The following is a 17117-nucleotide window of genomic DNA, read 5'->3' on the forward strand; positions in this document are numbered from 1 at the left end:
GGATAGATGGATGGATGGATAATGGGTGGATGGAGAGATAAATGAATGACAGATATATGGATGGATGTGTAGATGATGGATGGATGGATGGATAATGGATGGATGGATGGAGAGATAAATGAATGGACAGATGTATGGATGGATGTGTAAATGATGGATGGATGAATGGATGGATGAAATGGGTGTATGTATGGAAGAAATGGGTGTATGGACGGATGGATGGATAATGGATGGATGGAGAGATAAATGAATGGACAGACATATGGATGGATGTGTAGATGATGGATGGATGGATGGGTGGGTGGATGGAAGGATAGATGGACGGATGGATGGGTGGATGATAGAGGATGGATGAAGATATGGATGATGGATGAAGAAATGGATGGATGGATGGGTGAGTGGGTGGATGGAAGGACGGATGGGTGAGTGGGTGGATGGAAGGGTGGATGATGGATGGGTGGATGAAGAAATAAATAAGATAGATAGATAGTTATGAAATGGGCGTGTTCCCTGATCCCCCTCACAGGACATGCAACAGGGGTGTGGCTCGTATGTTCGGCCGCTGTGCACTCAAATCTCTTATGGGAGGGGGAACATGCAGCTGAGCAGCTGCAGGAGCTGGAGCAAATGCTTTTGGGTTTCAACCCCACAGTAGCATCTAGGGATGGTGCCTGCACGGAAGCCCCAGTGAGTGTGTCACAGGGCTCCTTTAGCTCTGCCATCCACAGACAGCTTAAGTGTTAACCAGCTCAGTGCCCTCTTGGTACCCAGGTTCTTGTCGGGCATCCAGGAAGAATCAGGTCACATGGACAAATTGAAGGATGGTAAATGTGGGGGATTTTATTGCCAGATGGAGGTGGCTCTCCATGAGATGGATGGGAAGCTGGAAAAGAGACGGAGTGGGAAGATGATCTACCCCTGGAGTTCAGCTGTCCCGCGGCTGATCTCCTCTCCCACCGTCCCCAGCCAAGCTCCTCTTGACGTTCAGATGTTCCTTCTCTTCTCTCCTTCTCTACGGCACCACTCTGCTGTTTCTCTGCTCTTCTGCTCATCTGCTTGTGGAGCCTTGGGTTTGGGGTTTACATGAGTACAGGATAGGGTCGTGCGGTGGGCCACAAAGCAGCATTTGGGTGAAAAAACAGGAATGCCTGTTCCCATTTAAGGCTTCAGTTTTCCAGGCTTGAGGGTGGGGTCTTTGCCAGGGAACCACTCTCTTCCACTCAGTATTTCCCTGTCTCCTGTCTGCATCAGTTGAGGGGGGTGGGTGATGGATGGACAGATGAAGAGATGAACAAGTGGATAAATGTATAGATTGATAGATGAATGGATGGGTGGATGGACAGGTGGGTGGGTGAGTGGATAGATGGATGGAAGAATGAGGGGTGGGCAGGTGGATGGGGGTGTGGCTGGATGGGTGGATGAATAGGTAGGGGGATGGATGATGGATTGGGTAGATGGATGGATAGGTGGGTCAATGTGTAGATGAACTTGAGCAGCGGAATGTGGCTGCACACAAACACACAATCACACAAACACACAAACACACAATCATGCTGAACTTGGGTAAATCTACGGCCACGAGCCTCCGGGGGCTGCTTAACACTGCCCAGCAATCCTGCTCCTTTTCTCTTCCTCACTCGCACTCTTGCTTTCAGGGACACTTCTCCCCTCACCAGTCTCTTCTTTCCTTAAACTGCTAACACCCTCTGCTTACTCTTCAATCTCAGCTGCTGACCTTACTTCTTCACTCACTGAAATCCAGGATAACCAAAAAGAGAAGTTCCTCATTCTCCCATTAAAGGCTCTGCACCTGGACCTGGGTGAAGGTATGTGCTCCTGGTGAAGGCAGGCATCGCCTCATGGGCACCAGACTCCAGCCCCTGTCACATAAATGGGCCAATTGAGTGATGGAGAAATGGATGCATGGGTAAGTGTATGAATTGATGAACGAGCAGGTGGACGGATATATGAATATACAGAGGTGGATGGAGGCTTGGTGGGCGGATGGACAGGTGAATAGATAGACATACGGAAGAGCTGATGAGCTAATGAATGAGTGAATGGATAAATTTATAGTTTGATGGATGAATGTATAAGGGGCGAACAGATGGTATGAGCGCACGGTGGATAAAAGGAGAGAGGATCATGAATTGGTGGCAGGTAGGTGGAAGGATGAACAACCTCTGCCTGGAACCAGCTGAGGTTGTTTCCACCCCTAAGGCCTATGGTTTGGGCCCCACAGTGTGTGTCAAGGCCTCCATCCCCATCCCAGTGCTGAGCGGCCCCCTGACCACACCTGCCTCTGGCAGCCTGGCCAGTTGAGGCCCCTGAAAGGGTGGTGTACAGGCCAGCGGCTCTCAGGAGCTCCATTCCTGGACCTCCACCCCTTGGACTGGCCCTGGTGGCCACGCCTCCCCCTGGGACAGGCCACCGCTGGTCACAGTTGTTCCAGCCTTGAGGCAGGCCCGGCTTCCTCCACCCCTGGGCTCTGGGGCTCCTCAGGGCTGGGCCTGGACCCTCCAAGCCCCTCTGCTATTGGTGGCCTGTCCCCATCTGCAGACTCAGCTGCTGTCCCAGACCAGCCAGGCCCCTGCTCCACAGTCAGCACCCATGCCTGGGCCCAGCCCTTCACACTCGCAGCACGGTGAGTGTACATGTCTGAGTGTGCATGTGTGTGTGCGCATGCACTTGTGTTCGTGTGTGTCCAAGTACTCAGGTGTGCTCTTGTTACCATACTCGTGTTTGTGTGTAACTGTGCATACGTGTGTCCATGTGCATGAGTATATAGGCATCGTATGTGTGTGTTTGCATGTGCCAATGTGTGTGCAGCTGTGCAGGGCCTGGCCTGTCCCCCAATCACCCCATGAAGGCACCTCGATACCACCATCCAGAGGTCTCAGTCCCACCCTGGGTGTGTCTCTGAGCTCCAGCTGTGTGCAAGGCTGGGCTTGCAGGGAGAGCTCCCTGGTGGCTTTCTCCTGCCCCTGCCATCCTCCTGCCACCCTGGGGACAAGGCCGTGCTGGGTGCTCAGGGTAGGGGTGGGGACACCTTCCTGGGGGATAACTATAGGATCTAAGGGATGAGCTGGGATTTACCCGGGAGACACACTGAGATCCGCACCTGTAGCTGGGGGACCGTGTAGGCGGGGGCCTGGTTCTGGGAAGAGCCTAGCACTGGGACTGGGGCAGAGTAGGGGAGCCCCTTGGGGACAGGCTGTGACCTGCAGGCTGTGAGTGGAAGCCAGGCTGAGGAACCACCAGGGGGCACGGGTATAGCACCTGGGTGCCCCACGGACCCCCCTACCTGCCTGATGGACACCCTGACAGCAGGAGGCCACTGTGACTGCTTCCTGATCTGCAACCCACCTGCCCAGCCCGCCACCCGCATCAGCAGCTGGGGACAGGTGTGCGTGTGGGCATGGGAGGTGAGGGCAGGAGAGGCAGACTGGCCCAGGAGAGGGCCTGGCCTGACTAGTCCTAGCACCCACCTCTCCCTCTCAGAGATGAGATGCTCCCTCTGCCTGGGATCCCCTTCCTGCCCGTGTGCTGGTCACGTCCCCTCTGCATCCACACCTCTGCTTGGCCGACTCCCTCAGGACCCCCCGACCGCTCAAGGCTCCAGCCACCCTCACGGTGCACACCCGCACTTGGCATGACCTGATTGATGCCAGGCAGCTCTAGGGAGGGCAGAGGCCTCGTCTGCCAGGTCTTGGCTATCCCAGAACCTGGCACGGGGTGTGACCCCAGGAGGGGAGAAGGAAGTTCCACCCCTCCTCCAACCCCGGGAAGGTAATGGGGGTGCTTCGAAAGCAAGGGGCTCCTGCTCACACTGATCTGGAGAACTCAGGACTCAAACCAAGTCATGTTCTTTACAACAGCACTTGTCAGTGCCTTTGGTGACTGGCATCGAGTGCCCCTCTGCCCCTGCCCTGAGCGAAGCCTGCAGGAACGTCCTTGGCACGTTTGACCCCATGGCTCCGACATCTTGCAGAGAAGTGATATTGAAAAGGGGCAATTCCTCCTGCAGGGAAGAGAGGAGTGGGGAGAAAGGGAGTGGGCACCAGCCGAGCCCTGGGGGCTTCTGCCGCAAGCCCCTTGCCTCCAGAGGGCCAGGGAGGAGTTCAGAGAGTTTTCAGTCCCTCCTGCAGCACCTCCCCAAGCAAGGGCACACTCATGTCAGGGGCTGGAGAGGGACAGGGCTGGGTCTGGGCCTACTGGGGCACCACGAAGGTCACTGACACCTGGCCCTCTGGGCCTCGAGTCCAAAGCCCGTGTGTGATCAGGAGACTGGCCTGGAGGCCCAGCTCGGCCCCAGAGCTCTCCCTGGCCTGGGAAGGGGTGTGTGCTGGGGGCCCTGGAAGGCTACAGGGAAGCCACCATTTCAATCCCGACCACTCACGACCCTTGTGGGACTCCAGGTGTGGATGCCCACCTGGAACAGCCACACTGAGTCAGTGGGGGACCACAGTCCCAGGCCCCAAGGGTCCCCATCCTGCCACATTCTTAGAGGGGAGCCACTCTTGAGGGACCCCCAGGGTCTCCCAGGCCAGAACCTTGAGGCTGCACGAGGACCCTTCAGCCCACTCAGGCCCGGACCACTCCAAGGCTGGCCAAGGAACAGGGGAATAGGGTGCTGCCCGAGGCCAACTGAGGGACTTCCAGGGGCCCTCCAGGAGAAGCTGGCTGGTGGGCTACGTGCCCAGCCTCTGGAGGGCGAGGGGATGGAGAGCTCGTGGCCTCCGACCCCCTGTCCTCACCCCAGGACCAGGCCACAGGATGCAGTGAGTCAGAGGATCCCGGAGGCAGTGCCTGGCTCCCCACCTCCCTGGCCGACCCCCACCCTGTTCCCCCACCTGCTGCCCCAGCCCAATAAGAAGTTGGCCACAGGCACCCCCAGCCCAGTGCCTGTGAACAGCTCCATGGCAGACATGGTGGCTCCAGAGGTGTCCCTGCTCCCTGGGAGCCAGCTGCAGGAGCTGGGGGCACGGCAGGCGCGCCGGGGGGCTCTGTGGCACGCAGCGAAGGCTATTTAAATGCTCCGTTGGAGAGGGATTAAAGTTTACGCAAGGTCACTGAGGATGTGATAATTATAATCACAGGTTTTTGGCTCCACAATGACAGCCATTTGTTATTTCCGCTCGGGCGGCTCCCGCGGCCCAGAGCTGGTGACAAGCGTGGACTGATTTAGTGGCCAGAGCCCATGCCCCTCCCCTCCCACTGCAGTCCCAGCAGCCCCCACTCCTGGGGGCTACCAAGGGCTCCACCCCCAGGGGACCAAGAGAGTCTCATGATGAGATGGGAGGGGGGAGTGGTGACGGAGAGGGATGGTGGCAGAGGCAGGGGATGGGTGGGGACAGGGCCAGGGGCGTCCCCACCTGGGGGTGGAGGGACCGTTGATGTACAGGCTGCCCATCAGGGTGTGAGCCTGCCTGGCCCAGGCCTCAGTTTCTCCATTTATGGGTCTCCATGCACCGCCTGTGCCCCGAGGATCCTGGCTCCGCCTCCGGCTACGTTCAGTCTTGTCTCTATTGCCCACATTCGCAAGTCCACGGCGGCCAACGCACCTGACAGGAAAAGGTCTGTCCACTCCCCACCGTCTCCGACTACAATCGCTGCTCTGTATTTCAACATTTCCCTGGAATTGGGTCCGTTTCTCCAGGTGAAAGAGTCTGCCCTGGGTCCATCACAACTATGCCGTTTCCCCATCCTAACACGGAGGCCACGGGGCCCCAGCTCCCTGGAAAGGAAAGCCAGAACCAGGCCCCGCCTTGAGTGAGGTAGGGGGCTCCCTGAACTGGGGGTCCCTAAGCCCCAGACCACCTGTGCCTAGGCAGTCTCAGCAGGCAGTACCTGCTGGGACAGGGTGGCCGTGATGGGTTCGGAGATCTGTCAGGAAGTGGTGCCAGGCCGCCGTGTCTTCTTGAACTCTTGCTGGCTACAGGCCAAGCCCTCTGTGCCTTGTGTCCTCTGCACCGCGATGGCTTCGCTGGGGGAGGGAGTGGGGAGAGCTGGCCTGCCCACGGGGCATCGCTGCACGTGGTAGGGGGTGACCTGGGCCGAAGGAGGATACCGGGCCTCTGCTAGGGCAGGGAGGCCAAGGGAGTTTGGGCCGGAGGGGACACCCTGAGCGCCCCACCTGCCTCCCGACTGTTGCCGGCCTGTGATTGATGCAGTTTTTTTTTGTTTGTTTTGGCAATCAGAGGTGTGAGCGCTTTAATATATATTAAATGGTGATAAATAAGGGGTCCAGGCAGCCGGCCTGACACGGCATTTGTCTTGGAGGGAGCAGAGATTGATATCTCGTGGGTGGCATTAAAAACTCCCGCCACAGTGGCGTGGGGGGCCCCGGGGCAGCCGCGCTCCTCCCCGGGCAGGGCGGGGACCACCCTCAGCGGCTGCCCCCAGCCCCACACCCTCACCCAAACCGCTGCCTGCAAGCCTGCGGCCCCTGCACGCCAGGACCCACCCGCGGGTGACCGGCCCCGAAAGTCCCCTAAGGCCCCGGCAGCCCCAGGACTCGATCACCCGGACACCCCGGGCTCCCCCGGCTCCCCGGGGTCCTCCTGTTCGCCCCTCGGCCGGCGCCCTCCTCCCACAGCCCACTCGCACGGGCCCGAGGGGCTGCTGCGCTTCTGCAGGAGCCCAGGCTGGCCTGAGAGGCACCAGGAATGAGGGCACAGGGTCCCTGGGCCGGCCCAGTCCCGTCGCCCTCGAAGGCCTCAGTGCCAGTGTCCAGCCTGGGGCAGCTGCATCCTCCACCCTCGGCCTCACCACGGCCTGCCCTCATCTGATTGGATGGGCCGAGGTCAGGTGTGCCTCAGCCAATCCTCAGAGCTGGGGCCATGCACCGCCTCTGATTTGAGCCAATCACGGCTCACTTGGTGGGCAGGGACTTCTGCAGCTCAGCGGGTGGGAGGGGCCTCCACCAGGGTCACCTTGACCTCTAGCTGACCTCTGCCTGACTTCTGGTTGACCTCTGCCCTCCCCCCAGGAAGAATGCCCCAGGGTGAAGACAAGGTGGCTGCCAGGCTGTGCTGTCCATGTGGCCACAGGAGGCCTGGACCTGGAGCTGGGACCTGGAGGCTCCTGGGGTCCTTGGGGTGGGGTCACTGGGCAGTGGACACTGCGGGCATTGGGATGGGGGCACAGGGGAGCTCCAGAAGGTGGGATCTGGGGAACATGGGGAAGGGGCACAGGAGGGTGGGCGCTGGCGCCATGAGGTGGAGGCACTGGAGTGGGAAGAGGAGTGGGCACGCTGGTCGCTGTGAGGTGACCACTGGGGGTGCTGGGGCCATTGCAGGGGGTGGGGGGGGAATTGGTGATGCAGGACGGGCAAGCCCCAAAGTCGAGGCCATAACTTGGGAGGGTTCTTGGCTTCCCCCAGGAAAGAATCCAAGGGCAGGGGTCACAGCAGAGGCAGAGGCGCCCCTCCTCGCAGACCAGGGCTTCGCATGGGCAGTGCATCCAGAGTGGCGGCTCAGATGCAGCTCTGTGCTCATTATGCCCACTTTTAATGATATGCAAATTAAGGGGTGGTTTATGCAGAATTCTCCAGAATGAGGGCGGTGACATCTGGGCTGTCAGTGGTTGCCATGGAAAGGGGCGGTAACTTCTGGTCCTTGCCATGGCAGTGGTGACTGACATGACACACTGGTGAGTGTGTCTTATTGGGAGATGCTTCTGCCCCAGATCTGTTGTGGCTAGTCCTCGATTTGGTCCAGTGTCCAAGCCCCACCTCTGGAGTTGAGTTCTGCCTCCTAGCTCACTGAGAAAGTGGGCACTGGTGTCACTGTGGGGGCACTAGAGTCACTGGGGGGTGGGTACTGAAGGAGTGGAGAGTGGGCACTGGGGTTGCTGTAGAGTGGCCTCTGGGGCCACTGGCACGTGGGTACTGGGAGTACTGGGGTGCTGGAGAGGGGCACTAGAGTGGGCAGCACACACCCGAAGGTGAAGTCACAGGCCACAGGGCAATTGGAGCAGGGAGGCCCCGGGTCCGCAGGCCCCCCAGTTTTTCCCCCTGCCCTGCCTCCTGATGTCATGGCTGGCAGCAGGGCACTGGGGCCAGGCCTGGTGGGGCCTTTGGGCTGACCCCTCCCTGGGGGACTGGAGCCACAGCCTCTCGGAGTGCAGTGGGGTGGAAGCCAGCCCCCACGGAGTAGGTCAGATCAGCCTTGGCGGACGAGACTCAGGAGAGGGGCTCTGTCCGGGTCCCAGAGGGCCAGGAGAAGAGGGGAGCGTATTTTCATATGTTTAGAGTATCCTTGTGACCACTGTGGAGAAAACTCCCTTTTTTCTCATTTTTCCAACGTGGGCCTCAGCTGGGCTTTCTGGATACTGGTTGCACCTTCAGATTCAGCCATAGCAAGAGGAAATGCCACCTGCCCCCTGCCCTGTCACTGACCTGGCAGCGGCCTCGTGGGCCAGGATTACTGCAGGTGAGACTGAGACCCGGCTCCCTTTGCTTTTCTCCCCCGTGCACAGCCCTGGCATGAGAAGTGTCACAAAACATGCAAATGCCACAGGCTCTGTTGTCCTCCATAGCCTCCCAAGAAAAATGCCACTTCTGGGGCAGTACCCGACTGGGTGCCAGGCATCCTGCTGCAGTGCCCACCGCCTGTGCTGGCAGAATTGAGGGACACCCCAGTGAGGTGCGAAGGCATCCTGTCTACTCAGTTCATCAAAGTGTGTTTTCTGTAAAACACTCGCAGAGCTGACAGCAGCTGCAGGCGGCACCCTGGGGAACAGGGCTGGCTTCTGGGGATGGGGCAGCTCCCTGGCCAGAGGCCCCTGTGCCCTCCAGAAGCAGGGTCCCGAGGGCCTCTGTCCCCCCAGGAGGGCTGCCTGGAACAGCCTCAGCCATGGAGGCTGGCGTTGCTTCCAGAACAGTGTCCCCACGAGGCCTCGGAGAACATCAGCTGCGCACAGGGGCAGGAGCTCCAGCATTTACGTGCCTGGTGCTGCCTGGGAGGGATATAATAGGGGCTCAGGAGGCGTCCGTGCCACCCTCCCCCTGCTCTCAGGTTGACAATTCTGGCTTAACCCTCCCCCATGAACGTGCTGTGCCCTGAGAGGACAGAGATGGCTTCGGCAGGGCCAAAGACTGGGAGACTTGGGGGTCCTGAGTGGGATAGACTCAGAGGGGTGGGACTCCAGAGGGGAGCAGGGGCGAGACATCCCGTCCCACTGTGGGGGGTCCAGACCCTGCATCTGCACTCCTGCCTATGCTGGTTTGCTCTTCCATCGCCGTCTCTTTCTTTCTTTTTGGGAGAGTTTTTTGAGGACATTAGCCTTTTACTCCTCTCACGTGTTGCAATCCCCCCGCCCCCGTTCGTCTTTTTCTCCTGGGAAGGCAACTTCTGCCATTTAGAAATACGTGATTTTGGCTGGGTGCAGTGACTCACACCTGTAATCCCAACACTGTGGGAGTCCAGACGGTCGGATCACTTGAGGTCAGGAGTTCGAGACCAGCATGGCCAACTTGGCGAAACTTCATCTTTACTAAAAATACAAAAATGAGCTGGGCGTGGTAGCTGGCACCTGTAATCCCAGTTACTTGGGAGGTTGAGGCAAGAGAATCGCTTGAACTCGGGAGGCGGAGGTTGCAGTGAGCAATCATGCCACTGCATTCCAGCCCGGGAACAGGACTCTGTCTCAAAAATGAAAAAAAAAAAAAAAAAAGAAATACATGATTTTACATTAGTCAAATGTATCCATCTTTTATAGTGTTTGTTTGCATAGAAAAGTTTTGTCTCCTCTGAGATTACGTCTATAGTTTAATTTGATTGCAAGTGAACTAGGTACCAAGGGGTCACCAGGCACTCACTCCATCTTCTGCTTTCTCCGTTGAGAAGGTGCCTGCAGCACGTATTCTCTTTTGTAGACTCACTGCTGGGCTTTGTGCTGAGTCCTTTGTGCCATGGCGGCTCCCTGTAGCTCTGTGATCTATTCTCCTATCTGGATGCCGAAGCCCACGCGTGCCTTCTCTGGGCTTCCCGCTGTTCTTGCAAGCTTACTTTCTGCACAACTTCAGACTCAGCTTGTCTGGTTCTGAATGATCCTGTTGTTTTTTTATTGGCAATGACTTCAGGGATGAAGCTCCGTTTAGTCTTTCCATCCTGGGATGGGCTGCTTTTTGTGTCCCCCAGCAGAACTTGAAAGCTTTCTTGGTACAGGGCTCACATCTTTTACTAAGTTATTTATTTATTTATTTTTCTCCTTTTTGAGACAAGGTCTTGCTCTGTTCCCAGGCTGGAGTGCAATGGCGCAGTCTCAGCTCACTGCAACCTCCACCTCCCAGGCTCAAGCAATTCTCCTGCCTCCTCCCACCTCGGCCTCCCAAGTAGCTGGGACCACAAATGCACGCCACCACACCCAGCTAGTTTTCGTATTTTTGGTAGAGATGGGGCTTTGCCATGTTGCCCAGGCTGGTCTCAAACTCCTGGGCTCAAGCAATCTGCCTGCCTCAGCCTCCCAAAGTACTAGGATTACAGTTGTGAGCCACTGCCATCTGGCCAGCTTCATAAGCATTTTATAATTTTCTTTCTTTCTGGTTGTTGTGGATTTGGGCTTATTTATTTTGTTCCCAGCCTCCTTACTGACGTACGCTTTTGCTATAGGTGGTTTTCAGTTGATTTTGCAGGGATACAGCCACATCATCCGTTTAAAAATGGCCATTTCCCCTCCACTTTTCCACATGGACTCCTGTGTTAGTCAGCTCGCTGCCATGATGGAAATAGCACACTGGGCAGCTCACACACACACATTTATTTTCCCACACTTCTGGAGGCTGGAAGTCCAAGACTCCAGTGCCAGCAGGTTTGGTTTCTCCTGAGGCCTCTCTCTCTGGCTTGTAGGTGGCATCTTCTCACTGGGTCCTCACCTCCTGAGGTCTCTCTCTCCTTGCAGGGACACCCATCACTTCAGATGACAGTCCCTCAGGGTCCCTGTCTCCAGGTAGCCTGGCACTGGGGGTCAGGTCTTCAACACAGGAATCCCAGGATTGGGGGGGTGATTCCATCTGTAGCAGCACCTGACTCTCTCTTCCTAACTGCAGGACGCCCAAGTGGTAAGTGCTGGCACTGGCATGGCGTCTGCCCCTGAGCCGAGAAACAGCCCTTGCAGGTCCTCGCTGTCCCCAGGGTGGCTAGGGCCGGGCCGGCGTCTGTGAGGGATGTGAGGTCACGTAGTTGAGGTTGAGGGGCAGCAGAGGCGGGAGGCTGGCGTGCTCTAGAGAGGCTTGTTATCTTGGGGTGGGGGGGCATGGGAGGGTCAGCAGGGACAGGGCAGGGTGGGGGAAGAGCTGTGGGAGGTGCTGGAAGGGCACAGGTCCCTGGACCGCAGGCAGCGGTGCATAGGGGGAGCCTGAGAGAGCCATGTGGAGTCACCCCCCATGCCCAGCCGGGCTCTGCCCACCCTGGGTCCTCCCAGGCTCATGGGGGAGCCTCCTGGGGCCCAGGTGTGTGGCCCCAGCAGCTGTGGCACGGGTATCTGGCCAGTGGCCCTGACCCAGCCTGGTGAAATGCACTATATAAATGTAAATTTCCCTGCAAACTGCTCGCTCACTCATTCAACAAGCAATCAGTGCAGCGCTGTCACTCCAATTTTCCACACTTTGTGTCTCTGTTCTCTGTCTGGGGCAATCCTGTTTCCCTGGGCTGTGGCAGGCTGGCAGCTGGAAAAGTTCAGCTTCTCAGATGCAGACAGGACCACCCAGCGGGCCGCCACTGAAGGGTGGGGCACAGCTGCAGGTGGCTGAACCAGGCAGGGTGTCCCAGCGAGGTCTCTCCAGGCTCGGGGATTGGGTCGGTCGCCTGAGGCTCGGGGATTGGGTCGGTCGCCTGGGATGGGGAGTGGATTTGGGAAGAGAAGAGCCTGATTGGTGGGCCCTGGGGAGAGGGAGATGCACGCCCATCTTCTCTGGGCAGATGGGGGTGAGGGAGGAAGAAGTGGGGGAGCTCCGTTTAGGGCTCTCCCTCCCTCCCTTCCTCAGGGAGCTCCTGGGTACCTGGGCCTCCGGGCCTCCTCTGCACTCCACCTGGAGGGACAGCAGCACAGGGGCTGTCTCTGGAGCACCGTGGCAGCCTCAAACAAGATGTTCCCTCCAGCAGCAGCTTGCTTGCCTCCCATTGGTCAAGAGCAGACAGCCCATGGGGTCTCCTTTTAAAAGCAGGGAAACTGAGGCCAGGGAGTGAGGTATATACTCCCCCAGGGCAAGTAGCAGACCTGAGGCTCGAGGCCGGCCCTGGGCCACATCCGTGGCACCCTGGAGGTGGAGACAGCAGGCAGGGCACAGGCATCAGGGGCTGGGCATGGATAGTGGAAGGGGGAGACCATGCTCAGAGCCCAGGCCCTGCCCCAGAGGCCCACACACCAGACCTGACCCTCCCCCGTCTCAGCCACTGTGCAGTCCTGGCTGCCCCCATCCTCTGTGGGCTCCGTGCTGCCCCTCGTCCCCGGGGTGTTCCCTGCCCATGCCTGCTGGCTGGGATTCATTTATCTCGGTATCTGCACATCCCCTAGCTTTTGGGGCTCGGGAGGGAGGCCCAGCTTCAGTGCCAGGGAGGAGTGGAGAGGCTCAAGGCCTTCCAAGGGCTGCGGGTTCATCCAGTGCTCACCTGCCTGTCCTATGAAGGGACACGAGCAGCTGACCAGGGACAGCAGGGCAGCCCCAGGGATGGGCTCCTTTTAAAAAAACAGCTTTATCAAAGTATCATTGGCATACAACAAACCTCACATATTTAACATGTACAATGTTATGGGTTTTGACATGTGTCCATGCGTCCATGCCAGCAAGAACATCCCCAGGACCCAGGACACAAACATTCTGGTCACCCCCAGAAGTCATTTCTGTCCCTTCCTGACACCTCCTCTCCACCTTTCCTCTGAGCCCGGCAACCACTCATCTTTAGTCACTGTAGATTAAGTTTCACTGTCTAGAATTTTGTACAAATGTACACTTTTCCCCTCTGGCTTCTCTCACGCAGCACAATTATTTTGTAATCCATTCATGTCGTCTTGAGTAACAGTAGTTCTGTTTTGTTGCTGAGCTGAGCAGTACTCCATTGTGTGGTTATGATACACAGTGATACAGTTTACAATTCACCTTTTGATGGACATATGGGTAGTTCCAGTTTGGGGCTGTTACAGATAAAGTTCAATGCACTTCAAGTATAAGTCTTTGTGTGGACATGCACTTTCATTTCCCCTGGGTAAATGCCTAGGAGTGGAATGGTGAAATTGTAGGGTAGATGTATATGTAATTTTTAAAGAAACAGCCGAGCTGGTTTCTAAACTGGCGGTTCGACTTTACTCCCCACCGCGATGCACGCACACTCCCCCGTGTCCTCACCTGCACTTGGCAAGGTTGGTCTTTGTAATTTCAGCTGCTCCAATAGGTGCACAGTGGCAGCTTTGTGCGGTTTTAACCTGCGTTTTCCTGATAATTAGCAATGTCGAGCATCTTTTCATGTATTCACTTACCAGCTGTGTATCTTCTCTGGTAAGAACGTCTCCTCAAATCTTTGGTGTGTTTTGAATTGGGTTGTTTCTCTTAGTATTAATTCGTAAGAAATTTTCCACTGCTTTTTCAAATTGAACTATAACATGACATTAACCATTTTAAAGCATGCAATTCTGTGATTTTTAGTGTATTTATAAGGTTGTGAAACCATCATCGCGGCCTAATTCCAGAACATTTTCCTCACCCTGTGAAAGTTGATCTTACAAATTGGGTCATTCTTGTCACACCCAACTACATGAGAGTAGGAGGCTGAGGGAAAAGCACTCGGGGTGCAAGACATTCCTCTAGGAATGTGATTCTCTGCAAGTCCAGCTGCTGAAACTGCTGTCACCTGAAGGCAGCCTCATCTGCAGCAACTGCGATCAGGGCCGCAACTCCGGGGCCGACTTTGCCCGGCCTGGCCCAGCAGTGGGGACTTGCGGGCCCGAGCTTTTCCAATGCCCGACGTCCTCGGGGCCACAGGTGACCTTCCTGTTTCCTGAGCTGCAGCCTTGTTTTTATTCTCAGATGGGGAGCGCCCCTGGTCTGAGTGTGTGCCCCGAACTGCAATTCCTTCCTCTCAAATAAAACACACGAAACATAGAGATTCATCTACGTTTTATTTTGACTTCGACAAAGAGGAAGCCCTGTTCCCATTCCGCAGTCGCTGCCTGCTCTCCGCCCCAGTCCCTGCCACCAGGAGTCTGCACTGGGCCTCCGGAGACCACAGCCACTTGGGAACCGGAAAGGAAGGGGGACAGAACAGGAATGGCCATCCCGGAGCTGGGACTGGCTGTCGCTGGGCCCGAGGTTTTCAAGGGTTCCGGAGCGCGGCCTCCGTGGCTGGGCCTCAGAGACTAACAGACTCAGGCTGCCCGCGCCCCAGCTCAGCGCCCAGGGTCCCACGACCGCCATCAAGGCAGCTGGGGCGGCCTCGACCCCTGCCCCATTGGATGCTGTGGCTCCCGCCCCAGAGCGGTCCCCCAGCCCCGTCAGGAGGGCCGCCAATCACAGTGCCCCATCTCTCCCACCGCAGGGATTGGTCTAGGGCCAGGCACATGGCCTAAGCTGTCCAATCACAGTACCCCATCTTTACGACCACAGTGATTGGTCCAGGAGTGGGCACATGGCCCAGGCCATCCAATCATAGTGCTCCATATGTCTAACCACAGTGATTGGTCCAGGGACAGACACATGGCCTAGGCTGTCCAATCATGGTGCCCCATCTGTCTAACTATAGTAATTGGTCCACACATGGGCACATGGCCTAGGCTGTCCAATCATAGCTCCATAGGGAGGAGGAACAGAGCGGGCATAGGGAGGAAGGGAGTAGGGGAGGAGAGGGAAGGCGAAGGAGAGAGGGAGGAGAGGAAGGGTGGGGGGTGGATGGGGGAGGTGAGAGGGAATGAGGGAGGAAGGGCAGGGTAGCGGGACAGGGGAGGGTGGGTGCTTTGCAATTTAATAGGGTGCCAGCACCCAAGGCCTCCCGAAACTCTCCTTTCCAGGGCAGAGACCGTGGCTCCAGCCCACACAGGCCCCGAGGGAGTTCTGGGCGCAGCCCTCCCATCCACGCCCCTGCAGGGCAGCCAGCCACCTGCCAAAGTGGGGCTTCGCCCACCCTCAGGGCCTGATTTATAAGGTGTCTTGCTGCTGGTCATTTGCTTTCTCCAAAGCCTACAGAAATCTAATTGCTGTTTGAAGAAAAAAAAAATGCCCTAAATAAAGCAGTTAATTGCAAGCAGCAGCTCCTTTAGGCGCAGCCTTGCGGTCCTGGAGCTGCCGGCCATGGACCCCGAGCGGGGCGCCGGGGTGGGGCCTGGGCCGCAGACAGATCGGGGATCGGGCCGGGGGCAGCTGGGGTGGGCTCAGCAGAGCAGTCCCTGGCCCCGCGGTTAATTGAAATAACCGGGTCAATACACGGCCGCCGGGACCCAGCCCCATTTGATCTCTCTCCTGGGCAGATTAATTAAGTGTTATCAATTAGCGGCCCTGGGTAAAGGGCCACACTGTCAGGCCTGATGGGGACCGAGCGCGCCACAGGTCCGGGCCGATGTCCGTGGGGGCGACAGGCCTGCCAGGCGGGCTTCAGCGGGGAAGCCAGGGGTCAGGGACCAGGTCCCTGGGGCAGCGCCAGTGCGGGCAGTCCCCGAGCCTTGGACAGCCCAGCACGGGTCCAGCCCCGGCCCCAGCACGGCTCCTGCACCGCCCCAGGACGTCCCCTGCATAGCCCAGGACAGCCCAACGCCGCCCAGCAGGGCCCCAGGACAGCTCCAGGACGGCCCCAGCATAGCCCAGCACGGCCCCAGCCCGGCCCCCGCACCCCCTCCCCCCGACCCGCCCAGCACCGCCCAGGAGGGTCCCAGCACCGCCCAGGAGGGTCCCAGCACCGCCCAGGAGGGTCCCAGCACCGCCCCAGGAGGGTCCCAGCACGGCCGCAGGGCACGCGGCGCTGTGGAGCGCATGAGCGGGGTGCGCCCTAGGGTGCGGCCCGCGCTGGCAGCCCCAGCCCGACTGCCGACCGCCGCTGCCGTAGAAACTGGGCCCATCCGCGGTGCCGGTGCAAGGTGCGGCCGTGGGGAGGCGGCGGGGCCGGGCCGCCGGGAGCTGGGAGCCGCGGCCACATCGGTGGAGCAGGGCGAGGCGCCACCTGGCGGCGGGCCCTCCCCTCCCGTGCGCGGCGCCGGAGCCGCTGGGGCCCCTTCCCGCTGCCGCAGCCCGCCTGGAGGTCCCCGCCCTCCAAGTCCCTGCCCGCCAGCCTCTTCTCCCATCATGGCGCCGTCGCCTGCAGCCTCTCTGGACACTGAACGTCATGTTCAGCCTGGACACTCACAAATGGTCTGGCTCCCCACACCCCAGGCTGCCCACACAGGCACCCCTGCTGACCCCGGCAGGGCCCGGGCTTCCGGCCTTCTTTATAGGACCAGAACAGCGAGGGGGACTGAGGAGTGAGGGCTGCCTGAGCCCGGCCTTCTTTATAGGACCAGAACATGGAGGGGGTCTGGGGAGTGAGGGCTGCCTGAGCCGGGTCTCTGGAAAGCAGTCCTTGAGGCTCAAGGGTGAGGCTGGGAGGAAGCTCTTCCCTCATCACCCCACCCTTCCTACCTCTCTTTGCTGGTCCCAGCTGGGTGGCCATACTCTTCCATCTTGGACTAAAGAGCCCTCCAGGGAACATGGGCCAGCACACGCCTGTCCTGAGCCTTGGAGCAGCTGGAGTTCGACAGACTTGGCCTCAGCTCGGTTTTTGCCATGTCTGCTGGGTGGCCGTAAGGAAGTTGCTCCAGCTCTGAGTCCCAGTTTCCTCCTCTTGCATGACTGTTCTGATTATTAAGAGACCAGATGTGAAAAGAGCTGTGGACCAGGAAGAAAGGAGATGATGATTATGGCAATGGCTATGGTGGAGGTGATGAGGATGATGGTGGTGGTGATGGTGATGATGGTGATGCTGGTGGTGATGATGATGGTTGATGATGATGGTGATGGTGATGATGGTTATGGCTGATGGTGATGGTCATGATGGTGATGGTGGTGATGGTGATGATGGTGATATGGTAATGGTCATGATGGTTATGGTGGTGATGATGGTGATAGTGACAATGATGATGGAGGTGACGTTGGTAAT

At 58.1% G+C, this 17117-nt stretch overlaps 1 long non-coding RNA gene across 2 annotated transcripts, besides 1 other annotated feature; it reads right to left on the reverse strand.

The window, feature by feature from the left end:
- Nucleotides 1-3786: 3786 nt before the first annotated feature.
- Nucleotides 3787-6348, reverse strand: LOC105374348 (uncharacterized). Of its 2 annotated transcripts, none has more exons than XR_925050.2 (3): nt 5851-6348; nt 5376-5564; nt 3787-4021 (listed from the first exon to the last, which is right to left on the reverse strand). It is a non-coding gene; the product is annotated as an uncharacterized LOC105374348 (long non-coding RNA). The 2 variants fall into 2 exon arrangements; XR_925049.2 differs by having other exon boundaries at nt 5376-5737.
- Nucleotides 14851-15501: an enhancer, noted in NCBI's record as "H3K27ac-H3K4me1 hESC enhancer chr4:1513782-1514432 (GRCh37/hg19 assembly coordinates)". NCBI's record gives its function as "activates a minimal SCP1, AML or CMV promoter by ChIP-STARR-seq in primed H9 embryonic stem cells {active_cell/tissue: H9 hESC(primed)}" and the evidence as "EXISTENCE:reporter gene assay evidence [ECO:0000049][PMID:30033119]".

Source organism: Homo sapiens, chromosome 4 (assembly GCF_000001405.40).
Source record: "Homo sapiens chromosome 4, GRCh38.p14 Primary Assembly".
In the NCBI taxonomy this organism is placed as follows: domain Eukaryota; kingdom Metazoa; phylum Chordata; class Mammalia; order Primates; family Hominidae; genus Homo; species Homo sapiens.